Source organism: Homo sapiens, chromosome 15 (genome assembly GCF_000001405.40).
Source record: "Homo sapiens chromosome 15, GRCh38.p14 Primary Assembly".
Taxonomy (NCBI): domain Eukaryota; kingdom Metazoa; phylum Chordata; class Mammalia; order Primates; family Hominidae; genus Homo; species Homo sapiens.
This window is the reverse complement of record NC_000015.10, coordinates 51,781,614-51,807,831: the sequence shown is the minus strand read 5'-3', so window position 1 is coordinate 51,807,831 and position 26,218 is coordinate 51,781,614. Positions and strand designations below refer to the sequence as shown.

The following is a 26,218-nucleotide window of genomic DNA, read 5'->3' as shown; positions in this document are numbered from 1 at the left end:
CTTCCACCTTTCACTCTCCCAACTGCAGGCTCTCCTGGTCACTGGGAAGAGGGCTATTTGAACTTTCTTGGATTTGGCAAAAAGGTGCCCTGGCTGTGGTCTTGCTCTAACTCTCCACTTTAAATAGCCTAGCTCCTACCTAGGCTCTTGCCCACAGTTGCTGCTTCTTGGACGTAGGCTGCCCTGTCCATTTTCTTCAGACCTCTCATTTTGCCTGTTTTCCTTTGGTCTCTATATTGTTTGGTTGTGGACCCAATGTGCTTTTCCTAGGTGCCTTCTGATTGCTGCTTCCACTCTTCCCCAAATCCCTATTTGCCTGTCTGTCCCTTGGCCTCACCCTGTGCACCCCCCAGGTAAGCACTGTCACGTGTCCAGCCAGCTTCCTGATGCCACACACTGCACCTTTCCTACGCCTCAGGGTCTTGGCAAAGCCTGTCTGGACAAGGAATTGGAGGCTAACCTTTATTTGCCCCTTCCCGTTCTAACCTTTAGCTTCTATCTTGCCCACTATCTGAGTCCTCCTTGAGGCCAGCACTGTACCTGGTGGAACGCCTTGCCCAGTTCCTCCATCCAAGATCTGGCATTCTGTCCCTGAACCTCAAACTGGGGATTGAAGCCTGCTATTGACTGACTGACCACTTGCCAAATGGATGTCTGCTCCTGGGTGTCCTTTTGCCAGGCTGCTCCAGGTGGCTGGGATATCCTCAGACCAAGCTTTCCCAGTTCCTTTCTTCTTTGCTATGGTTGATCAGGACATGCCCCACCTCATCCTAACAGAAGAAATGCCAGGGATCCTCAGCAACAAGTGGCCACACGAAAAACTGAAGGGGCTAACTGAAAAGGCGACCTGTGAGTTTAAACTTCATAATGTAGCTCCATGTTTATATCACATGTAAAGTGCCAAAGTATCAGACATATCCATATTTAGAACTAAGTACCAAAGCAGTCAGAAGTCAAACATAATTTGGAATCTCAGTGTCCTTGTGCCCATTTTCTGGTGCAGATAAAAACAGAAGGAGATTACATGTAAGTAAAAGAGAAACAAATACACAAAAGAAATCAAGCAAAAATCAAAGACTGCCTGGAAAATAGAACAAACTTCTTTTTTGAGAAAATGCTATGATGAAACTTAACACTGCGAGGACCACAAAGACTCCTATGACCATGTATTATAATAATGCGTCTTATATGAAGAAGTGAGTGACATCAGAGGCCAGTGGAATGGTATCTGTGAGATGCTGCGTCTGAAGTGGAGAAGTGAATGCTCATGCTCTTCTAATTGTTAACAGCAAATATTATGGCTGAATTACCCAGGTCATTATTCTTTGTGATGGCAGCTGCCACCCTTGTTCGTGGCCCTTGCTTGGTAAACTGGTATCCAAACTTGAGGATCCTTGAATTCTCCTCCAGCATCTGGGCAATTTCCATCTCTACAGCTGTTCCCAACTGCTGCCTCTGGTTGCAGGTGCAGACACATGCACAGGATGACCAAGAAGGAAGAGGAAACAGTTACTTGCACAGGAAAAAGACAAGGCTACTTGCTGGACAAAAAGGCAAAGAGGCAAAGGTCTCAAACTGAAAGGGACAGCGTCACTTGAGAAGTTTTCTCTCACAGTCATTTGAGTCCTGCTCCTTGTCTAGAAGCAAAATCCAACAGACAGATAGCTGAGTTTGCTGGTGTCCTGCAGCTGAAAAAAACTAAGCAAATTGTTTATGAAGGAAAGGATAATTCCAGAATTAAAATGAAAGCAAAACTAATATTTGGTGTTTTGAATTCATCCCAGTATCTGTGGTTTAAACAAAGGGTGTTTTAAAAATAATGAAACTATTTTGTAGCAGCCAATCCAATTACTAAATTTTTATTTTATTTTTTACTTTTTACTTTGGGAATTCTTACTTACTTATTGTGGTAAAATACACATAAAATTTTGCCATTTTAAAGTGCACAATTCAGTGGCATATAGTACAATCACAATATTGTACAACCATTACCTTTATTCATTTCCAATACTTTTTCTTCTTTTTTATAAAATGTTTTTAATTTTGACTTTTGTGGATACATAGGTATATAATATTTATGGGGTACATGAGATATTATGACCCAGGCATACAATGCATAATAATCACATCAGGGTAAATGGGGTATCCATCACTTCAAGCATTTATCCTTTCTTTGTGTTACAATCAATCAAATTCTACTTTTTTATTTTAAAATGCACAATGTTATTGTTGACTATAGTAACTCTATTGTCACTGTGTTGTGCACATGTTATATTTGTGCTATCAAATATAATTTTTTAATTCTGGGATCCATATCCAATGATAATTAAACATCTCAACCTATGGGCTGTTGTCTCTCAGCAGAATCTTGCTAGGTGATTCTGAGCAGCTTTATTGTGGTTTGAACCATGTACACGTTTGGATGAAATCAGCAAACTCTGAAGGGGGTTCCTGGACTACAAAAAAATCTCCAACTTGTTTAAGTTGGTGGGAAGAGGTTTTTTTGTTTGAGACATAAACTAATGAAAAAATAAAAAATAGAGGGTTTTTTTTTCTTTTTTTTTAAGACGGAGGCCGGGCACCGTGGCTCCTGCCTGTAATCCCAGCACTTTGGGAGGCCGAGGCAGATGGATCACTTGAGGTCAGGAGTTTGAGACCAGCCCGGGCAACATGGTGAAACGCCGTTTCTACTAAAAATACAAAAAATTTGCTGGGCATGGTGGCATGCAAATGTAGTCCCAGCTACTTGGGAGGCTGAGGCAGGAGAATCACTAGAATCTAGGAGGCGGAGGTTGCAGTGGGCCAAGATCGCGCCACTGCACTCCAGCCTGGGTGACAGAGTGAGACCCTGTCTCAAAAAACAAAAACAAATGGGGCATGTAAATATGGGAATTTACAATTTAATTTAAGGGACAAAGTATATTTTTTCATAACACAGTCATCACATTTTAAAAAATAAGGCTAGGCGCAGTGGCTCACATGCCTGTAATCCCAGCACTTTGGAAGGCTGAGACGGGCGGATCATGAGGTCAGGTGTTCGAAACCAGCCTGGCCAATATGGCAAAACTCTGTCTCTACTAAAAGTACAAAAACTAGCTGGGTGCGGTGGCAGGCACCTGTAGTCCCAGCTACTCAGGAGGCTGAGGCAGGAGAATTGCTTGAACCCGGGAGGCGGAGGTTGCAGTGAGCTGAGATTGTGCCACTGCACTCCAGCCTGGGTGACAGAGTAGGCTCCATCTCAAAAAAAAAAACAAAACAAAACAAAACAAAACAAAACGTACAGGCTTGTTTAGAAAACACAAATTAAAATGTATATAAAATATGCAAGTCTCCTTACTCCAACATCCCCATTCCCCACAGAGAAAGCCAGATTGGCATGCAGTATGTAGTGTTCTAAACATTTTCTATGCATTCACGTATCTACACAATCACTTGTATATCTATGCTTTTTTTCACATTAATGGATTATACTAGCATATTGTTTTGAAGTGTGTTTTTATTTTTCATCTAACATTAAGGATATCTTTTCATGTTGGTAAATATACATTTACCTCATCCATATAAAGAACTATGCCAAATCCCATTGCAGTGATGGATCATAGTGTATTTAGCCAGGCCTTAGTGACTTACTGTTACATCACATTCTATTTCCACTATCCCAAACAAAACTGCAGTGAGCTTCCCTCCCCCAGTGCATCTTGGGGCATTTCTGCAAGTATGCCTGTAGGACAAATTATAGCTGGGTCAGATGGCAAGCATGTTTCGAATTCTGATATATTATTGACTTATTGTCAAAGGTTATGACAGCTTTTATTCTTGCTAACTGTACGAGTGTTACTTCTTTCCCTACCCTAGCCAAATAAGATACTACTAACCTTTTTAATCTTTGTCTATACAGTTGGTGAAAATTTATATTTCTTTCATATTTATTTACTGCCTTAATTTGCATTTGTCAAATGATGAATAAGAACAATGAATTTTCTTACAGGTTTATATTTCTTTTTTCTCAGGAACTACCAATCCATGCCATTTGCCCATTTTTCTATTAGCTTACAGTTCCTGTATTTTGAGTTTTTTAACTTGATTTGTAGGTTTCTGGTATGTTAGGAAATTAGCCCTTTGTCAAATGTGCTGAAAACATTTTGCTATGTTTGTCTTTTGACTTTCTTTTTATCACTATCAGGACTTTTCTTCATTTTCATATGGTCAAATTTATCAATCTTCTAGATATCATGTTTAGGAAGCCTCTCTACTCTTCCTGATTTCTTCCATTTGGTTTATGATTTAATATATTTTAATGTTTAAATCTTCATTTCATCTGGAATGAATTTTAACATAAGAATGAAGATAGGGCCAGGCATGGTGGCTCACACCTATAATCCCAGCACTTTGGGAGGCAGAGGCAGGCAGATCACTTGAGGTCAGGAGTTCGAGACCAACCTGGTGAACATGGTGAAATTCTGTCTCTACTAAAAATACACAAATTAGCAGGGGATGGTGGCATGCGCCTGTAATCCCAGCTGCTCAGGAGGCTGAGGCAGGAGAATCGCTTGAACCTGGGAGGCGGAGGTTGCAGTGAGCCGAGATGGCGCCACTGCACTCCAGCCTGGGTGACAGGAGTGAAACTCCACCTCAAAAAGAAAAAAAAAAAAAAAAAAAAAAAGAAGATATAGAGACCCAATTTAATTTTGTTCCAAAATGCTAGCAAATTATCCCACCATCTTTTATTTCATTCTTCCCTGATTTGAATCTGCTTTATTGCTCTGCTAGTATATTTTTGTGCCAGTACCATACAATCTTGATTACTTTGTAATAAGTTAAAAATATATACCTTTTAAATTTGGAAAATTTAAGTATGGAGTGGATGAAGAAGAAAAGTTTATGGAGGAACTCTTGCGTCCCAAGCAAGTTTAAGGCTTATCTCTTTGCTTCTCTCTTTCTTGTCATCCAGCAACCCCTCAAACGAGTCTCTCCTCAAGAACTTAACACAATGTGGTATTTCCAGTTAGACAATAATAATTATGGTAGAGATTAACGCTCTAAGCATTTTGAGTAAATGGGAGGGAGTGGCAGCAAAAAAGTAAGAGATGCTGACCTCAGAGTTTCATGAGCAACTTTAGCAAATGACATAGTTTAGAAGAGTGGGACCGTATCAAGGGATGAGCCCTGAGCTAAGGTTAGGGCTGCCACTACTACGGCTTGTGCCCCTGGAGCATTTGAGTCCTGGACTTGGATAACTTGCAGTGTTAATGCAGTGGTCCAAAGTTACCCCAAATCACCTATATTCCCAAGTATCTGAGTCCCTCCTCTCCAAGTAGCTGGCTATTTTCCTAGTAGTTTAAATTCTGCTCAGCATCCTTACAGCTGCTTTGTTTTGCAATAAAAGACAAATCCACACTTATTCATCCTTGATTTGAATGTTCTATTTATATAGACGTCAACTGTAATTTCTTTAGGGTTTTCTCTATTTTGTAATGAACCTTGGATGACATTCTGGCAAAGTAGTGAAACAGAAACACCAACTCTGCTTTTATGTTAACTTAAACCATTAATATAATCTGGAATCAAAAATAGGAAATATTAATAATAGAATAATAGCTTTATTTTTTTTTGAGGGGGAGGAAGGAGATGCTAATAGCTATATAAAAGACTTAGAAGCTGAAGAAAATTAAATTGGGGGGCATATAAAAAAGGGGAGGAATTAATGTAACATACACTATGTTTCTTCCTCAGCCTGCATCTTTTTTTGGATTTGAGGTCTTACATAAACCCAGGACAATAGATGGGCATCAAAATTTCTTATAATTTGGATATACAGTCTTTATATATACTTAAATTATCTAAGTATGTAGTGTATTAAATTATATAACTTTTATTATGTTATATTATATTATATATATATTTTAAAGATGAGGTCTTGCTATGTTGCCCAGGCTGGACTCGAACTCCTGGGCTCAAGGGATTCTCCTGCCTCAGCCTCCTAAGTAGCTGGGACTAGAGGCCCAGGCTCTTTTTATATTTTAAGTCACCAAACACAAAGGGGGAAAAATAGAAACAAATGTTTAAGCATATCTTCAAATCGCCTTCTGTGTTTTTCTAAGTGACCTCTTTTATCTACTCAAATTTATTTAGCAGTTCCCCATCTGTTTCTTTAATATGCATCACCGATTGTTCTTCCCATGGGGGCACCTGATTAAATCACTGCACATTGACCTGGAGCCTAGCCACAGCAGCCTGCCCCCAGTGGTGGATTCTCAGCAGGCCTTCGCTTTGGTGCAGCTGCCCATTGCTGTGCTGTTAAATTGGTCTTGGCTTCTGGTTCTGCCTGAGGAAACTGTCTTACAGATTATTTTATTTCAAACCCCTCATTAGATAGATAAGGAAACTGAGGTTACTTCTAACAGTCTATGAGTCAATGAACACAATTTGGATGCAAGACAAGTTTTGACCCCGAATTCCCTCATTTCTCAAGTAAAGCAAACAATTTTTTCCAATTCCTCTAGAAAATCTTTTCTTAGAGAGAGAGAGAGAGAGAGAGAGAGACAGGGTGTGTGTGTGTGTGTGTGTGTGTGTGTGTGTGTGTGTGTGTGTGTGAGAGAGAGAGAGAGAGAGAGGGAGAGAGAATGAATATACAGGGTCTAGGTCTGTTGTCCAAGGTGGAATGCAGTGACACATCCATAACTGACTGCAACCTGGAATTCCTGGGCTCAGGTGATCCTCCTGTCTCATTCTTGCAATGCATTGGGATTACAGGTGTGAGCCACCACACCCAGCCTCTCTAGAAAATCTTAATCCTCCTTGTCGTATACAAATAAAGAGACGCCAGGCTAGGCGCGGTGGGGCTCATGTCTGTAATCCCAGCACTTTGAGAGGCTGAGGCAGGAGGATGGCTTGAACCCAGGAGTTTGAGAACAACCTGGGAAATATAGTGAGACCCTGTCTCTACAAAAATTTAAAAATTAGCTGGGCATGGTAGTGTGTGCCTGTAGTCCCAGTTACTCAGAAGGCTGAAGTGGGAGGATCACTTGAGCCAGAGAGGTGGAGATTGCAGTGAGGCCACACTGCATCATTGTACTCTAGCCTGGGCCATAGAGTGAGACCTTGTCTCAAAACAAACAAACAAAAAACAAACAAAAAAAAGAAATAAAGAGAAGCCATTTCAGAAGCAAAATGAAATACTAAAGTTGAAAAACTACACAAATCCATTCCTAGATGGCTGAGGAGGGGTGATGAGGTTGATTTAGAGGGGATTTTAGGGAGCAAATTCTTTGTACTTCAGGGTTTTGTTTTTTTTTTGAGACACGGTCTTGCTCTGTCACCCAGGCTGGAGTGCAGTGGCATGATCTTGGCTGACTGCAATCTCTGCCTCCTGGGTTCAAGTGATTCTCACGCCTCAGCCTCCCCAGTAGCTGGGATTATAGGCATGTGCCACCACACCTGGGTAATTTCTGGATTTTTTGGCAGATATGGGATTTCATCATGTTGGCCAGGCTGGTCTCAAATTCCTGACCTCAGGTGATCTGCTCGCCTCGGCCTCCCAAAGTGCTGGGATTACAGGCTGTACTTCAGGGTCTTCTTTATATGCATTGTCAAAAGCTGCTCTGTTCTAAATTTTCACAATTCTAGCTCATTCTAGGCTAATTCTAACTCAATACTAGGCATAGAGTTGCCAGGTTTAGCAAATAAAAATACAGGACACCCAGTTAAGTTTGACTTTCTGATAAACAACAAATAATTTTTTTAGTATAGTATAAGGTATCCCATATATTTGATGACACATGCTAAAATTTATACATCATTTATCTGAAAGCCAAATTTAACTGTATTTTATGTGGCAACCTTAGCTAGGTGGTATCTTGTAAGGAACTAGGGACAGAGTGTGTGATATTATTTCAGATATGGGGTTTCACAATGGCCTAAATCCGTAAACAAAGTTAAATATACTTTGGAACAGGGTATCCACTTCTGTGTTAGTTTCCCTGGAAATATTTACTAAGTGCCCACTTAGCTTCTTCCTGATATGAGTCTATTCAACAAATATCCCTGAGTGATCACTTCTGTTCTCTCCCTTCATATTTCTCTCTGGCTTGTTTCCTTACTCCCCCACACCCTGATGCCACTTTCTAATTTACTAGCAGCTGGACATATGCTAGGATACACAGCATCGAACTTCCTGAGTGTGCGGGGCCCTGTGTGGCACATCCCCTGGGGTGCTGCCTCCACATCTCTGTGTCTAGGAAAGCCGTTTTGGTGGCACATTCCTTCTGGCAGGATGCGAATGTAAAAGTTCCTCTCTCCTAGTGGGCTTTCTGTGTTCCCCTGGCAACAAACATCATTAGTCCAGGGCCAGAGGGCCTGCACTGAAAACAGTCTGCTTGTCCTGGTTAGCAAAGACAGAGAATAGAGCCTCCATAGGAACTGTTGAGGGTTTCCAGGGTTAGGCAACAGTCCTGGATGGCACTCTGCGGCTTTATCAGATCTTGGAGGGTCTGCACCAGGAACTTTCCCAGAGATGGCCCCCAGACATGCAAAGGATGCTCTGAGCAGTCACTTCCCCAACTGTCTCTCCCACCATCCCACAGGGGAACGAATGCTCATACCACAAGTCTCCTTGGTCTCTCCTTTCCAAGGCCCTTTCTTTTCAAGATATAGTGTCTGGAACCCCATCACAGACCCTTCCCCATGGCCAGAGGAGCAGGGCTCTACATCATGGCTGATCACTGAGAGTTGCTGTCTGTGGGCAGGAGTCAGCTGAAGCCAGCAGAGCAACTCGGAAGGCACTGCAGGCTGACGCTGGGAAAAAGAGGTCGCCAGGCAGGAAGAGGTGGCTCTAGGGAAAAGCACCTTGCTTTGGCTGCAGACGGGAACCTGAGAAATGCTGTGGTCATGATCAATGAGACTGTGATCAGACCACAATCTCATGGGTGTGGCCTGCTACTCTAAGCCAGACCATCTTCTAGAACCCTGATTCCTTTAAATAGGCTCTCTGCAGCCAGCATCAGACTGCAGGAGCCTGCATCTGCTCTTTTGGTTCTAGAAGTCTTCAGCCAAGGAAAAGAAATCTGAATCTTTGGACACGGCTACCCTGCTTTCTCTGTTAGCAACAGTCCCAGTGAGAAGCAAAAGTAAGGCTGGGATAGTACAGGGAAGAGATACATGCCAAAAGGCAACAATGATGAGACTGAATAAAGCAGCTATCAACACCTCTGCCACCACCTCCTTGCTTTCTCTTCTGGAGCCTGACTAGCCTAGGGTTGTGGGATAGATGGCTCTTTATGTCCCAGGCTGCCCCACTGTACATTGTTTGATTAGTAACATGCTCTTCTGCACATCCTCCATGGGCCAGAAATGGTTCTAAAACTTACAGGAAATCCAGTACATCAAATTGAGTCACACACAGAACTGTGTCTTTTAACTCATTCCTTGTGGCATTTCCCCCGCTCACTGCACACCCTGTGAGTTGACTTTGCCTATTCTCTGGCCTTCCTTACCTGGTTGTCAATCTTGATTTCTGTCAAGGTGTCATTTTCTTTCAGTGCCTCTACCAGGGCCAGGATCCCAGTTCCAGTGATAAAATTGGATTCTATGTTTAGACTTGTCAAGGTCTTGTTTACTTTCAGCATGTCTGCAAAAGCCTTATGATGCAAAAAGAAAAAAAACTTAGAATTAAGTTAGAATTTCTAAAGATTAATTTACTAAACCCCTCACTCCCAAATTAAATACAGATGTTTTCTAGCACTTAAAGAAAACCTTCATCAAATCATACTTTCACCTCCAAGTAACAAAGATACAATTTAAAACCACAATTAAAATATTTCAGTCCAGCAGTCTAGACATAAATTTCACATACTTGCAAAAACTATTTTTAAAAAAGATACTGACATAGGATTACAGATTTTTTTTGTTAAGTAGAGACATTAAAAAAAAACCACTACTGTTTTTTTTTTTTTGAGAAAACACATTTTAACATTAGAAAAAAGGTAGAAAGGACATAATCCCAGAAAACCCAGTTTTTTTCCTTTACTATGAATTAATTAAAAAAAAACTTTACCATTGACTAGCACTTGGAAACTAGTGATTTAGTTATATTATTTCAGATCATGTATAAATCAGAATTTTTAAAAAATAACTTTTGGAACAAAATCACCACTGAGGGTGGCAAACCCATGGGAGACTCCAGTTTGAGACAGCGGACTGCACACGGGCACCTGCCGGCTCTCTTTACTCCCAGAGTTTCCCACCACCAGGAAGAAATAATATAATTTTTAAGAGACTGGAATTCTCACAGTGCAAGAAAACAAAACAAAACAAAAGGCCATTATCTTGAGGAATTGCTGAAATACAGAAAATAGAAAGATTCACAGATAAATTAGCACAAGCAAGTTGTTGCCTGAGCTGCTAGAGATAGGTCCCATTTGGGGCAATTCCTTAAAGAACCGCCTTAGGAACAGATGGAACAGCTAGGGCAGATGGAGAGTACACTATCCCTCCCAGCACCTTCCAGGAAAAAGAGCAGCTGCCAGCACAATCAATGAAGTCTCCCAGGAAGAGCCTCTGGTGAAGGTGCTGCGACCTGTGACAGAAGCAGTGCGGAAACAGAGGCGCCTCCAGACCTTCACACCAGTACAGTGTGGGGGGAAAATGGGAAAGGCAGCTCTGCCAGGAATGAAGTACAGTATTCCCTGCAATCTGCGGTTTCAGTTACCTGCTGTCAACCTCAGTGGGAAAACGTTAAATGGACAACCCCAGAAATAAACAATTCATAAGTTTTAAATTGCATGCTGTTCTGAGTGGTATGATGAAATCTTATGGTCTATGTCGCCCAGGAGGTGAATCATCTGTTTGTCCAGCATCTCCGTGCTGTCCCTGCCTATGAACCAATGACACTGTCTGCTTTTGACATCCAACCATTGACATCGTCATGGCTGGATGAGCCAGGATCACCGGAGGTAGATGATCCTCCTTCTGACAAATGGTCAGAAGGGCAACAGTAGCCTAACGCAGTCCCCTTGCCTATGTCATTCACCTCACTTCATCTCATCATACAGGCATTTTACCATCTCATGTCATCATCACAAGAGGGAGGAGGATAGTACAGTAAGATATTTGAGAGAGACCATATTCACACAACTTCTATAACAGCATATTGTTATTATAATTGTTCTATTATTAGTTATTGCTGTTAATCTCTTACTGTGCCTAGTTTAAAAATTAAACATTATTATAGGTGTGTAGTATAGGAAAAGACATAGCACATATCGGGTTTGGTACTATCTGTGGTTTCAGGTATCCACTGAAACCTCTGCAGATAAGGGGACTACTATACATTGAAAGGTGCCCCTCCCAGAATGAAGTCCTCCTAACTGTAGCGATTGCAGGGGACTCTCAGGCTGCCTGTGAGCTCCTTATACACACACTGCAGAGAAGGTGGCAGGTCAGCACACCTGCTGCTGAAAAAAAGCTCTCACTCATACATTCAAAAAAGACTATTTGTCAGGCTTCTACTGTGCTCTAGCAGTAAGAGAAAACAAAAATCCTTGTCCTCAGAGAGGCTTATATTTGAGCAAGAGGGCAGAGTCAATAAATTAATAAATAAAATATATAGCTTATCAGATGGTGACAAATGGAGAAAAATAAAGGGGCCTCCTTTTTAAGGGAGAGGTCTGTTGGTAAAACAGATAGATACAACTGCAGGAGAAATGATCCTGGATTATACAAACCAACCTTGCTCTCCATTATAAACAGGGAACCAATAATTGCCAGACATTTTAAGAAAACCAACATCATGAAAGAATAAAGTTGACCAAGCAGGTCAATATGCCATAGAAGAAACAGACACAAATTTAAAAATTCTGATTATGTATTATTTTCCTCCCTGCCCCACAAGAAAAAGAAAAAGAAAGAAAGAGAGAAAAAGTCGGGTGGGGGGTGGGGGGCGGCGGAGAGAGACAGAGAAAAGAAAAACATTTTGAACATTTAAAAAAACTACATTGAAATAAAAGAAAATAATAGACATCTAGAATTACAAAATAAGCATGGCTGAAGACCAAGTTGGTGATCTAGAAGATAACACTGAGGATATTTCCAAGGATATACAGCAAAAAGATGAAGATAGAAATTATGAGAAAACCTTAAGAGATGTGGATGAAAGATGCAGAGATTCAACATTCATCTAAGAAGAGTTCCAGAAGGAGAAAGAAAGAAAGAAAGAAAGAAAGAAAGAAAGAAAGAAAGAAAGAAAGAAAGAAAGAAAGCAAGCAAGCAAGCAGAAGAGAAGAAGTTATCAAATAATTAAGGAGAAAAAATAAATTTCCCAGAGATGAAGAAAGTTACGGATCTTTATCTGAAGGAAATAACTAGACACTCAGCAGAATGAATAAAAAAAACTTTTTTTTTTTTTTTTGAGACAAAGTCTCACTTGACATGTTGCCCAGGCTGGAGTGCAGTGGCACTGTGTCGGCTCACTGTAACCTCCATCTCCTGGTTCAAGCAATTCTCCTGCCCCAGCCTCCCAAGTTGCTGGGACTACAGGCATGGGCCACCACGCCTGGCTAATTTTTTTTATATACTTGTAGTAGAGACGGGGTTTCACCATGTTGGCCAGGCTGGTCTCGAACTCCTGACCTCAGGTGATCCACTAGCCCTGGCCTCCCAAAGTGCTGGGATTACAGGTGTGAGCCACCGCACCCGGACCAAAATGACTCTTAAGTGAACAGACAAGTGAAATTTCAGAATTCCAAGAGGAAAGAGAGTACTAAAAATTTCTAGCAAGGAAAAACAAGTTACCTGCAAAGGATCAAAAATCAGGTCAGCACTAGTCACTACATTGTAAGGCCCATGAGAATGGAGATTTATATTTATATAAGTCATATAATTGTAAATGCTGCTAATAGGTTAATTTTTGGAATCAATCTATATACAAACACAGAATATAATTACAGAAAATGTATAAAGCTCAAATGTGTGAAAATAATGGAATATCTACAATTTGGAAGTGGAAGAGAAAGGAGGAATGGAAAATTAAGTATAGAACTACCCTCATCTTTTATAATAGAGAATAAAAAATTTTCTAAGATGATAAATGAAAAATATAAATTTCTGTATATTACTGGTTTTCTACATTGACCACACATTAGAATGGTCTGGGAGCTTTAAAAAATTTACCCCAGATGAATTAAATCGGAATCTCTGAGGCTGTGGAATGGCCATCTGCATTTCTGAAGAGCTCTCCAGGTGAATAATGTGCAGTTAGGATTGACAACCACTTTTTTCTTTTTTGGTGTAGAAACAGGTCTCTCTATGTTGCCCAGGCTGGTCTCGAACTCCTGGCTTTAAGTGATCCTCCTGCCTCGGCCTCCCAAAGTGCTGGGATTACAGGCATGAGCCAGTAACCACTTTAATTAAAGTCATAAAGACAACAACCAGAAGAATGAAAAACAAACTGCTAATAGTGATTGCTTCTGGGGAGTAGAACAAAAAAGTTCTGAACTATTTTAATTGTTTTTACAGTGGAAAAGACAGGAAGAAGGAAGACGAGAAGTCCCAATATTGGATGAGAACAGGGTTATTTAACCTCAGCATGACTGACACTTGGGGCCAAAGAATTCTTTGTTGTGGGAGGCTGTCCTGTGTATTGAAGGATATTTAGTAGTATCTCTGGCCTCTGAGACTCACTAGATGTCAATAGCACTCCTCCCCATCATGACAACCAGAAATATCTCCAGATGCTGCCTATTGTCCCCTGGAGGGCAAAATTGCCCTAGGTTGAGAACCACTGGACTAGAAGAATAATCCTGTATCTTGGTCAGGCAGTTGCTTGCACTGCAAAGAAAGCTCAACAATTTGGATTTACACTATCGCATACCATGTAAATTAAAGTGCATTTATTCTGTGCTAGGTCCTTGATTAAAATTAAATCTATACATTTTAATCTGATCATCAGAGAGGGATGCATCAGGACTTTCCTTTTGGACTCTACAAGCTTTGGGATTTACTATCATTATTAGAATAACAAAATGTCAGAGCAATTAGGCCTTTACAGAAAGTTGCAGGACCTCCTGGCGAGTTGCCAGGATCTTGCCAATTTCTTTTAAACTTGAGAAAACACTTTCTTGTGCTGAACAAAACAGGGGCGAGCCAGCCAAACACAATACTGGGCTGTAGGCCCAGGTTCACTTCAGTTCAGCAAATATTTGAGCATATTACATGTGCTGGGAATAATAACATTAGTAAAACAAAGACTAGATGTTTTAAATGTAATTGAAGTAGAGTAGAAATACATCTTTAAAGAGAAGGGTTTGCTGTCTGTACTTTATAGGATTGTATGGAAATGCAAATTTCTGCACTGGCCAAATGGTAGCCATGAGAAATGTGGCTACTGAGCCCTTGAAAACTGGTTAGTCTGATTTGAAATGTGCTGCAAACATAAAACACACTGGATTTCAAAGATGTAGTATGAAAAAAAGAATGCAAAATACCTCATTATATTTTCAAATTACATTTTGGATATATTGGTTTAAATACAATACAGAGAGTCCCTGACTTACGATGGTTCCACTTTCCATTTTTGGAATTTACCATGATGTGAAAGTGATACTTATTCAGTATGCTCCTTGACTTATGATGAGGCTATGTTCAGATAAAGATTTTCAATTTACAGTAGTTTTATCTGGACATAACCCCATTGTAAGTCAAGGAGCATCTATTTACTACTAAAATTAATTTTGTCTACTATGTATTTTTTTTAATGTGGCTACTAAATAATTTAAATTTATACATGGGGCTTCCATTTGTGGCTCATGTTTTATTTCTTTTTATTTTTTATACTTTAAGTTCTGGGTTACATGTGCAGAATGCGCAGTTGTGTTACATAGGTATACACGTGCCATGGTGGTTTGCTGCACCCATCAACCTGTCACCTACATTAGGTATTTCTCCTAATGTTATCCCTCCCCTAGCACCCCACCCTCCACAGGCCCCGGTGTGTGATATTCCCCTCCCTGTGTCCATGTGTTCTCATTGTTCAACTCCCACTTATGAGTGAGAACATGCGGTGTTTGGTTTTCTGATCTTGTGATGGTTTGCTGAGAATGATAGTTTCCAGCTTCATTCATGTCCCTGCAAAGGATATGAACTAATCCTTTTTTATGGCTGCATAGTATTCCATGGTGTATATGTGCTACATTTTCTTTATCCAGTCTATCATTGATGGGCATTTGGCTTGGTTCCAAGTCTTTACTATTGTGAATAGTGCCGCGATAAACATATGTGTGCATGTGTCTTTATAGTAGAATGATTTATAATCCTTTGGGTATATGTCCAGTTATTAAGATTGCTAGGTCAAATGGTATTTCTAGTTCTAGATCCTTCAGGAATTGCCACACTGTCTTCCACAATGGTTGAACTAATTTATACTCCCACCAACAGTGTAAAAGCATTCCTATTTTTCCACAACCTCTCCAGCATCTGTTGTTTCCTGACTTTTTAATGATTGCCATTCTAACCGGCATGAGATGGTATCTCATTGTGGTTTTGATTTGCATTTCTCTGATGACCAGTGATGATGAGCATTTTTTCATATGTCTGTTGGCTGCATAAATGTCTTCTTTTGAGAAGTGTCTATTCATATCCTTTGCCCATTTTTTGATGGGATTGTTTGCTTTTTTCTTGTAAATTTGTTTAAGTTCCTTGTCAATTCTGGATATTAGCCCTTTGTCAGATGGATAGATTGCAAATTTTTTTCTCCCATTCTGTAGGTTGCCTGTTCACTCTGATGATAATTTCTTTTGCTGTGCAGAACCTCTTCAGTTTAATTAGATCCCACTTGTCAATTTTGGCTTTTGTTGCGTTGCCATTGCTTTTGGTGTTTTAGATATGAAGTCTTTGCCCATGCCTATGTCCTGAATGGTATTGCCCAGGTTTTCTTCTAGGATTTTTGTGGTCCTAGGTCTTACATTTAAGTCTCTGATCCATCTTGAGTTTATTTTTGTATAAGCTGTAAGGAAAGGGTCCAGTTTCAGTTTTCTGCATATGGCTAGCCAGTTTTCCCAAGAGCATTTATTAAATAGGGAATCTTTTCCCCATTGCTTGTGTGTGTCAGGTTTGTCAAAGATCAGATGGTTGTAGATGTGTGGTGTTATTTCTGAGGCATCCGTTCTGTTCCATTGGTCTATGTATCTGTTTTGGTACCAGTACCATGCTGTTTTGGTTACTGTAGCCTTATAGTAAAGTTTGAAGTCAGGTAGCGTGATGCCTCCAGCTTTGTTCTTCTTGCCCAGGATTGTCTTGGCTATGCAGGCTCTTTTTTGGTTCCATATGAAGTTTAAAGTAGTTTTTTCCAATTCTGTGAAGAAAGTCAGCAGTAGCTGGATGGGGATAGTGTTGAATCTACAAATTACTTTGGGCAGTGTGGCCATTTTCATGATATTGATTCTTCCTATCCATGAGCATGGAATGTTTTTTCATTTGTTTGTGTACTCTCTCTCTTATTTCCTTGAGCAGTGTTTTGTAGCTCTCCTTAAAGAGGTCCTTCACATCCCTTGTAAGTTCTATTCCTAGGTATTTTATTCTCTTTGTAGCAATTGTGAATGAGAGTTCACTCATGATTTGGCTCTCTGTTTGTTCTTGGTGTATAGAAATGTTTGTGATTTTTGCACATTGATTTTATATCCTGAGACTTTGCTGAAGTTGCTTATCAGCTTAAGGAGATTTTGGGCTGAGACTATGGGGTTTTCTAAATATACAATCATGTTATCTGCAAACAGAGACAATTTGACTTCCTCTATTCCTATTTGAATACCCTTTATTGCTTTCTGTTGCCTGATTGTCCTGGCCAGAACTTCTAATACTATGTTGAATAGGAGTGGTGAGAGAGGGCATCCTTGTCTTGTGCCGGTTTTCAAAGGGAATGCTTCCAGTTTTTGCCCATTCAGTATAATATTGGCTGTGGGTTTGTCATGAACAGCTCTTATTATGTTGAGATACGTTCCGTCAATACCTAGTTGATTGAGAGTTTTTAGCATGAAAGGCTGTTGAATTTTGTTGAAAGCCTTTTCTGCATCTATTGAGATAATCATGTGGTTTTTGTAGTTGGTTTTGTTTATGTGATGGATTATGTTTATTGATTTGCGTATGTTGAACCACCCTTGCATCCCAGGGATGAAGGCGACTTGATCATAGTGGATAAGCTTTTTGATGTGCTGCTGGATTCGGTTTGCCAGTATTTTATTGAGGATTTTCACATCAATGTTCATCATTACTGGCTTAAACATCCTCTTTTTTTGTTGTGTCTCTGCCAGGTTTTGGTATCAGGATGATGCTAGCCTCATAAAATGAGTTAGGGAGAATTCCATCTTTTTCTATTGCTTGGAATAGTTTCAGAAGGAATGATACCAGCTCCTTTTTGTACCTCTGGTAGAATTCGGCTGTAAATCGGTCTGGTCCTGGACTCTTTTTGATTGGTAGGCTATTAATTATTACCTCAATTTCAGGACCTGTTATTGGTCTATTCAGAGATTCAACTTCTTCCTGGTTTAGTCTTGGGAGGGTGTATGTGTCCAGGAATTTATCCATTTTGTCTAGATTTTCTAGTTAATTTGCGTAGAGGTGTTTATAATATTCTCTGATGATAGTTTGTATTTCTGTGGGATCAGTGGTGATATCCCCTTTATCATTTTTTATTGCATCTATTTGATTCTTCTCTCTTTTCTTCTTTGTTAGTCTTGCTAGTGGTCTATTTTGTTGATCTTTTCAAAAAACCAGCTCCTGGATTCATTGATTTTTTGAAGAGTTTTTTGTGTCTCTATCTCCTTCAGTTCTTCTCTGATCTTAGTTATTTCTTGTTTTCTGCTAGCTTTTGAATATGTTTGCTCTTGCTTCTCTAGTTCTTTTAATTGTGATGTTAGGGTGTCGATTTTAGATTTCTCCTGCTTTCTCTTGTGAGCATTTAGTGCTATAAATTTCCCTCTAAACACTGCTTTAAATGTGTCCCAGAGATTCTGGTACGCTGTGTCTTTGTTCTCATTGGTTTCAAAGGACATCTTTATTTCTGCCTTCATTTCGTTATTTACCCAGTAGTCATTTAGGAGCAGGTTGTTCAGTTTCCACGTAGTTGTGCAGTTTTGAGTGAGTTCTTAATCCTGAGTTCTAATTTGGTTGCACTGTGGTCTGAGAGACAGTTTGTTGTGATTTCTGTTCTTTTACATTTGCTGAGGAGTGTTTCACTTCCAATTATGTGGTCAGTTTTAGAGTAAGTGCGATGTGGTGCTGAGAAGAACGTACATTCTGTTGATTTCGGGTGGAGAGTTCTGCAGATGTCTATTAGGTCCACTTGGTCCAGAGCTGAGTTCAAGTCCTGGATATCCTTGTTAATTTTCTGTCTCATTGATCTGTCTAATATTGACAGTGGGGTGTTAAAGTCTCCCATTATTATCGTGTGGGAGTCTAAGTCTCTTTGTAGGTCTCTAAGAACTTGCTTTATGAATCTGGGTGCTCCTGTATTGGGTGCATATATATTTAGCATAGTTAGCTCTTCTTGTTGAATTGATCCCTTTACCATTATGTAATGCCCTTCTTTGTCTCTTTTGATCTTTGTTAGTTTAAAGTCTGTTTTATCAGAGACCAGGATTGCAACCCCTGCTTTTTTTTACTTTCCATTTGCTTGGTAGATCTTCCTCCATCCCTTTATTTTGAGCCTATGTGTGTCTTTGTACATGAGATGGGTCTCCTGGGTACAGCACACTGATGGGTCTTGACTCTTTATCCAATTTGCCAGTCTGTGTCTTTTAACTGGGGCATTTAGCCCATTTACATTTAAGGCTAATATTGTTATATGTGAATTTGATCCTGTCATTATGATGCTAGCTGGTTATTTTGCTGCCATTAATTGATGTAGTTTCTTCATAGCGTTGACGGTCTTTACAATTTGGCATGTTTTTGCAGTGGCTGGTACTGGTTGTTCCTATCCATGTTTAGTGCTTCCTTCAGGAGCTCTTGTAAGGCAGGTCTGGTGGTGACAAAATATCTTAGCATTTGCTTGTCTGTAAAGGATTTTATTTCTCCTCCACTTATGAAGCTTAGTTTGGCTGGATATGAAATTCTGGGTTGAAAATTCTTTTCTTTAAGAATGTTGAATATTGGCCCCCACTCTTCTGGCTTGAGAGATCCGCTGTTAGTCTGATGGACTTCCCTTTGTGCTTAACCCAACCTTTCTCTCTGGCTGCCCTTAACATTTTTTCCTTCATTTCAACCTTGGTGAATCTGACAATTATGTGTCTTGGGGTTGCTCTTCTCGAGGAGTATCTTTGTGGTGTTCTCTGTATTTCCTGAATTTGAAAATTGGCCTGCCTTGCTAGGTTACAGAAGTTCTCTTGGATAATATCCTGAAGAGTATTTTCTAACTTGGTTCCATTCTTCCTGTCACTTTCAGGTACACCAATCAAACGTAGATTTGGTCTTTTCACATACTCCCATATTTCTTGGAGGCTTTGTTCGTTTCTTTTCACTTTTCTTTCTCTAATCTTGTCCTCTGACTGTACTCCATTAATTTGAACTTCAATCACTGATATCCTTTCTTCCACTTGATCAAATCGGCTATTGAAGCTTGTGTATGCTTTACGAAGTTCTTGTACTGTGGTTTTCAGTTACAAAGTTCTTGTACTGTGGTTTTCAGCTCCATCAGGTTATTTAAGCTCTTCTCTACACTGGTTATTCTATTTAGCCATTCGTCTAACCTTTTTAGCTTCCTTGCAATGGATTAGAACATGCTCCTTTTGCTCAGAGAAGTTTGTTATTACCGACCTTCTGAAGCTTACTTCTGTCAACTCGTCAAACTCATTCTCTGTCCAGTTTTGTTCCCTTGCTGGTGAGCAGTTGTGTTCCTTTGGAGAAGAGGCGTTCTGGTTTTGGGAATTTTCCGCCTTTCTGCTCTGGTTTCTCCCCGTCTTTGTGGTTTTAGCTACCTTTGGTCTTTGATGTTGGTGACCTATGGATGGGGTTTTGGTGTGGATGTGCTTACTGTTGATGTTGATGCTATTCCGTTCTGTTAGTTTTCCTTCTAACAGACAGGCCTCTCAGCTGCACGTCTGCTGGAGTTTGCTGGAGGTCCACTCCAGACCCTGTTTTCCTGGGTATCACCAGCAGAGGCTGCAGAAGAGCAAATATTGCTGTCTGATCCCTCCTCTGGAAGCTTTGTCCCAGAGGGACACCCACCTGTATGAGGTGTCTGTCGGCCCCTACTGGGAGGTGTCTCCCAGTCAGGCTACACGGGGGTCAGGGACCCACTTGCAGAGGCAGTCTGTCCGTTATCGGAGCTCGAACGCCATGCTGGGAGAAGCACTGCTCTCTTCAGAGCTGTCAGGCAGGGACATTTAAGTCTGGAGAAGCTGTCTGCTGCCTTTTGTTCAGATATGCCCTGCCCCCAGAGGTGGAATCTAGAGAGGCAGTAGGCCTTCCTGAGCTGTGGTGGGCCCCGCCCAGTTCGAGCTTCCATGCCGCTTTGTTTACACTGTGAGCATAGAAATGCCAACTCAAGCCTCAGCAATGGCAGATGCCCCTCCCCCCGCCAAGCTCTAGCATCCCAGGTGGATCTCAGACTGCTGTGCTAGCAGTGAGCAAGGAAGGCTCTGTGGGCGTGGGACCTGCCAAGCCAGGCACAGGAGGGAATCTCCTGGTCCGCTGGTTGTGAAGACTGTGGAAAAAGCGCGGTATTTGGGCAGGAGTTTACTGCTCCTCCAGATACAGTCACTCATGGCTTCTCTTGGCTAGGAAAGGGAAATCCCCCAACCCCAACCCCTTCCCGGGTGAGGTGATGCCCCGCCCTGCTTCAGCTCACCCTCCATGGGCTGCACCCACTGTCCAACCAGTCCCAGTGAGATGAACCAGATACCTCAGTTGGAAATGCAGAAACACCCATCTTCTGCGTCGATCTCACTGGGAGCTGTAGACTAGAGCTGTTCCTATTTGGCCATCTTGGAAGTGACCTCTCACGTTTTATTTCCAATAAACAGTGCTGTCCTAAACTCTTGATTTTTATGTGGCATCATTGTAAATAACAGTAGCATTTTAAATATATTTGGGCCCTCTCATTGGCATTCAGTGGGGACAAATTCCATTTGAATGCTCAGTTGCTATAGATGTGGTTATATGAAAGTGCTTGGGGCACAGTAAACTAAACTCAATCACAGGTGACTTACATTTGCATCCTGGCTTGGCCACATGCGGTGTAATCTTAGTTCAGCATTCAACTTCTTTGAGTCTCAGTTGCCTCATCTGTAAAATGGCTTGTGTTCACCACAAACCCCAAAATATGTTTTCTGATTGAATGCCAAACAGCCTTAAATGGGGACATGTCTAAACGGATGCCAATTGCACAGGGCTTCACTGATTCTAAAAATATATCAGAATAATAATTTATAACATGAAAGCAGAATAAGGTTTGAGGTCCACAAATGTCATCCACCAAGAAACGCCTTTTCATCTCATGTTTGAATGCTAAAAATGGAGACTTTCTGCCAGGACTCCCAATAAAACATCACCCAGGCACAGTGACAACGAAGAAAACCTTTCCTAAAATCATCACTTCTTTCCCTTGGTTCTGCCTCTCTCTTCTCAGCTTACCCTTGAGAAGGGGGGATTCGGGGAGTGAGGAGGGGAGGAGGGTGGTGTACCACATCTTAGAATTGGAATGAAGGACAAGGGAAAAATTTCTATTAGGAGTGATGCTCTTCAGAAAACAGTAGCAAAATCATATTTTGAAAACTCTATCCATATAAATGAATATATATATGTATATATACGTATATCTTCCTGTGGTCCCTCTATTTTTTATAGACTATACTATGACTATACCAAATAAATTAAAAATGTTTAAATTAAATGTTAAATTTAAAATGTTTTAGTGATAAATAATAGTTGTACATATTTTTGGGGGTGTATGTAATATTTTGATACCTTTATACAATGTGTTTGCAGTGATCAAATTGGAGTAATTGGAATAGCCATCACCTCAAAGGCTTATCTTTGTGTTGGGAACATTACAATTCTTCTCTTCTAGCTATTTTGAAATTTATAATAAATTATTGAATACAAGAACTTATTCCTTCTAACTAACTGTATTTTTGTACCTCTTAACCAACTTCTCTTTGTCCCTACTCCCTTCCCTTCCCAGGCTTTAGTAACCACCATTCTACTCTTTACCTCCATGAGAACCACTTTTTTTTTAGCTCCTACATGTAAGTGAGAACATGCTATATTTATTTTTTTTTGCTTGGCTTGTTTCACTTAACACAATGACCTCCAGTCCCATCCATGGTGCTGAAAATGACAGGATTTCATTCTTTTTTATGGCTGAATAATATTTCAGTGTGCATATATATACCACATTTTCTTCATCCATTCATCTTTTTTTTTTTTTTTTTTTTTTGAGACAGAGTCTCACTCTGTTGCCCAGGCTGGAGTGCAGTGGCGCCATCTCTGCTCACTGCAAGCTCCACCTCCTGGGTTCACGCCATTCTCCTGCCTCAGTCTCCCGAGTAGCTGGGACTACAGGCGCCCGCCACCGCGCCCGGCTAATTTTTTGTATTTTTAGTAGAGACGGGGTTTCACCTTGTTAGCCAGGATGGTCTCGATCTCCTGACCTCATGATCCACCCGCCTCGGCCTCCCAAAGTGCTGGGATTACAGGCGTGAGCCACCGCGCCCGGCCCAAATAAAGTATTCTTTAAAAAGCAAGTTACAAAAGGTCAAATTTGCCTGAAAAGTGTTACCCAAAAAATCCAGCTCCTAGTGTAGTGCTTTTCACATGACAAGCATTCAACACATAGTTGTTGCATTAAAAACAGCATCAAAGTGATTATTATATTTGGAATTTATTTAATCCACTTAGTAAGTTATTTATTTGGTCTAGAATAGGAGTTAGATTATTTACCAGTAGTGTTGAGAGTTGATTGTGAACTAACCCCAGCCCTGCAATTTTACTCGAAATAATATATGAAACAGAAGTGACAAATCATTTCTTTATCCCTTTATTCATTTACATACAAAGTATATTGTGAATATTTTTGCTTTACTGAAAAAAATCTACTAAAAGGCAGAAATAGTACAAAATCATACAGAGATAAGAATCCTTAAACTGCTCATTTCACCTTACCAATTATCTAGTTCTGCCATCTTTCTATTTTAATGATAGGTTTCAAATTCAAAACTGCTTTCAAGCTACGAATTTAGAAATGTAATAACTGCTGGTAAAAACATTGATTTTTGTAGCCTGGTTCCTCTTTTACATGAGTGCTTATTTCAAGTTTGCTGTGATCACCATAGAAATATTCTCTATTGCTAGAGGTTGGAGGTTATGATCATTCATTTATTTAACAAGTACTTGTCAAACATCTATTCTGTGCCAGGACCATGATAGGTAGTCATTACTTTCATGTCATCTGTTTTAAATGCTATTTTAGATCTTCCAAAAGACATGTTACTTTAAATCAAACCATCAAGTCCAGACAACTTGCGTTTTTCTAACTCGATTCAAGGGCTGAGCATTAAATGCCATAGAACAACAGGCTGATGCCCAGGCTTTTGATAAGTGACATATTTTAGCAAATGTATGACAGCCAGGCATTGTGTGTAAATCTAGCATAGCTTGATGGTTAAGCTTCCTGGCTGTAGAACCAGAAAGACTTGGTAGTGAATTCTGGCTTTGCCATTTACTGGTTGTATTACCTTGGATAGCTTACTTAACCTCTCTGAAGCTGTTTTCTCATTTGTTAAAGTTGGAACTAATAATAGTATATACCTCATAGTATTACAGTGACAAATGGATGAGATGCTGCATGGAAAGCACGAAGATCAGTGCTGGCATTTACTAATTCCTCAATAAAGTAGCTATAAATAGGAGGAGTTACTAATTGGCTATTGATAGGAAGAATAAAAATCATGATAGTGATGGTATAAGTATTTACCTGGGACAAGGGGCTTCCTTATTTGGCTAAATTATCTAAAATGCATAGGAAGAATAGAACTTTTAGTTGGCTATTTTTCTTTTATCTATCTATCTATCTATCTATCTATCTATCTATCTATCTATCTATCATCTCGTTCTATTGCCCAGACTGGAGTGCAGAGGTGCAATCATAGCTCACTGCAGCCTAGAACTCCTGGGCTCATGCAATTGTCTCACCTCAGCCTCCTAAGTCGCTGGGACCAGAGGTGTACGTTACCACACCTGGCTGGCTATTTTTTTCACATTCTGGTGTCAAACACAGAATGTTTCCTGATTTTGTTGTCTAAGATATTTTAGACACATATTAATCCATTTCAAAGATTAAAATATACTTTAATTTTTCTTTTTTTTTTTTGAGACAGAGTCTCCCTGTCGCCCAGGCTACAGTGCAGTGGCATGATCTCGGCTCACTGCAACCTCCGCCTCCCGGGTTCAAGTGATTCTTCTGCCTCAGTCTCCTAAGTAGCTGGGACTACAGGCGCGTGCCACCATGCCCAGCTAGTTCTTGTATTTTTAGTAGAGATGGGGTTTCACCATATTGGCCAGGCTGGTCTCGAACTCCCGACCTCATGATCCACCCACCTCAGCCTCTCAAAGTGCTGGGATTACAGGCATGAGCTACCGCGCCCAGCTACTTCAATATTTCTATAGATGCCTAATTCCTGAAGGGCTTTAGGGTCATGATATCCAATGACTGTAGATGTGAAAGTTTTAGAAAATGTATCCTAAGCACAGAGCAAACTCTAAATATTCAGTTAGTTAAATGCCAAACTTATCTTGTTTCTTTCTCTGAAAACTGTAATGCTGACAAAATTCCAGATAACTTAAAGCATCTGACAGTTCAGTTCTGAAGTTTAACTATTGCATTGTAACTATAATTTTGCTCACTAACTGTGTAGAAGGTAAGTTTTCCAGATCTAAAAAATTGTTAGCTAATGAAACAAAGTAAATAGAGTTTCCAGTGAATTAAATAACTTCATGTTATATTTCTAAGAATTTTACTCACAATGGCCACAGGGTCATTGCTGCGAGTTGCGGCCAGGCTGAACTTCTTCACGTGAGTGTTGGTCTCCAGAGCCTTTGCAAATTCCCTCAGGGTTGGAATTGGAATGTTCTAAGACAGAGAGGACATGGCTAGTTGATGAACCATTGTATGGCACACTCTTGCCAAGGTAAGAACCCACAACCTTTAAATACCAGGTATGTGTAGATAAATACACGATATCCCTTCTAAATGAGGGTCATTACCTAGCCTTCAGCAACCAAGCTATCCTGAGCTAACAGCACCACTTAGTGTCCAATAGGGGAATCTAAACTACCACTATGGTACCTCTGAGTGTCGTCTTTCTGTTTTCCCTAACCAAGAAAGTATGCAGATACTATACTTCCCTCTTTTTATTTTTCACTCTGTATTCTAGCCAGACTGACGTATTTGCCACTGTTTTAATATACCAAAGTCGTTCTCTTTTTCAGACCTTTATATATGCTTTCCCCTTAGCCTGGAAATTCCTTTTGTCCTTTTCTCTTTCAAGACTCAGATGTAATATCATCTCCTTTGTTTACTGGATCTCCTAGGTAGCATTAAAATTTTTCTTTCTTGCAATTCAATGATATTTGGTGGCTCACCACATCATGTTATAATTATCTGTTTAGTGTTTTTCTCCTAATATAATTGTTTTCAGAGTAAAGACTGAATAAATCTTATTTATCTTTGTAGTCCTTTTTCTAGATCATTTAGCACAGTAATGACCACTGGGGAAGGAGACAATGTGGGGTGCAGTTAGAAGTGGAGAAGAGTCCTGGCTGCACTACAGACTAACTCTATGACGTTAACAACTCTTTAAGTCCAACTAATAATTAAATGAGATAATAAATTCCAAGTATTTAGTAAAGGACATGGCACATAGTAAGTACTCAATAAAAGTTGGTTATTATTAAATGCTAAGAATTGGCCCCAAAAGAATAAACAAAAGAGACTTCAGGTAATGTTTACACACACACACACACACACTCTCTCTCTCTCTCTCTCTCCTACTCTTTCCCTTTGAGAGTGGCATGACTTATTATCAAATTGAATAAAGTGGAAGTGACAACATGTGACTTCAGAAACCAGGTCATAACAGGTATTGTGGCTTCCTGCTTTCTCATCTCTCTGTCTTGGATCACTCGCTCTGGGGAGCCACATGGTGAGAAATGGAGGCCTCCTGCCAACAGCCGCATG

General features: G+C 40.3%; 1 protein-coding gene across 2 annotated transcripts in view, besides 2 other annotated features; it reads right to left on the bottom strand.

Annotated features, from left to right (window-relative positions):
* TMOD2 (tropomodulin 2) overlaps positions 1-26,218 on the bottom strand; it is a 64,767-nt gene that overhangs the window by 8,532 nt on the left and 30,017 nt on the right. The window contains exons 7-9 of one of the 2 annotated variants that reach the window (NM_014548.4): positions 25,004-25,111; positions 9,492-9,635; positions 1,311-1,455 (exon numbers count right to left, since the gene is read on the bottom strand). In NM_014548.4, coding sequence (NP_055363.1) covers positions 1,311-1,455; positions 9,492-9,635; positions 25,004-25,111 — 397 coding nt within the window. The remainder of the gene's footprint in view (positions 1-1,310; positions 1,456-9,491; positions 9,636-25,003; positions 25,112-26,218) is intronic. The other variant, NM_001142885.2, reaches the window with a different exon arrangement.
* Positions 12,942-13,111: an enhancer, noted in NCBI's record as "experimental_39634 CRE fragment used in MPRA reporter constructs". NCBI's record gives its function as "activates a minimal promoter by MPRAs in K562 erythroleukemia cells, with activity observed for both the introgressed and non-introgressed 15:52087003 variant alleles {active_cell/tissue: K562}" and the evidence as "EXISTENCE:reporter gene assay evidence [ECO:0000049][PMID:34662402]".
* Positions 20,062-20,562: an enhancer, noted in NCBI's record as "H3K4me1 hESC enhancer chr15:52079467-52079967 (GRCh37/hg19 assembly coordinates)". NCBI's record gives its function as "activates a minimal SCP1, AML or CMV promoter by ChIP-STARR-seq in primed H9 embryonic stem cells {active_cell/tissue: H9 hESC(primed)}" and the evidence as "EXISTENCE:reporter gene assay evidence [ECO:0000049][PMID:30033119]".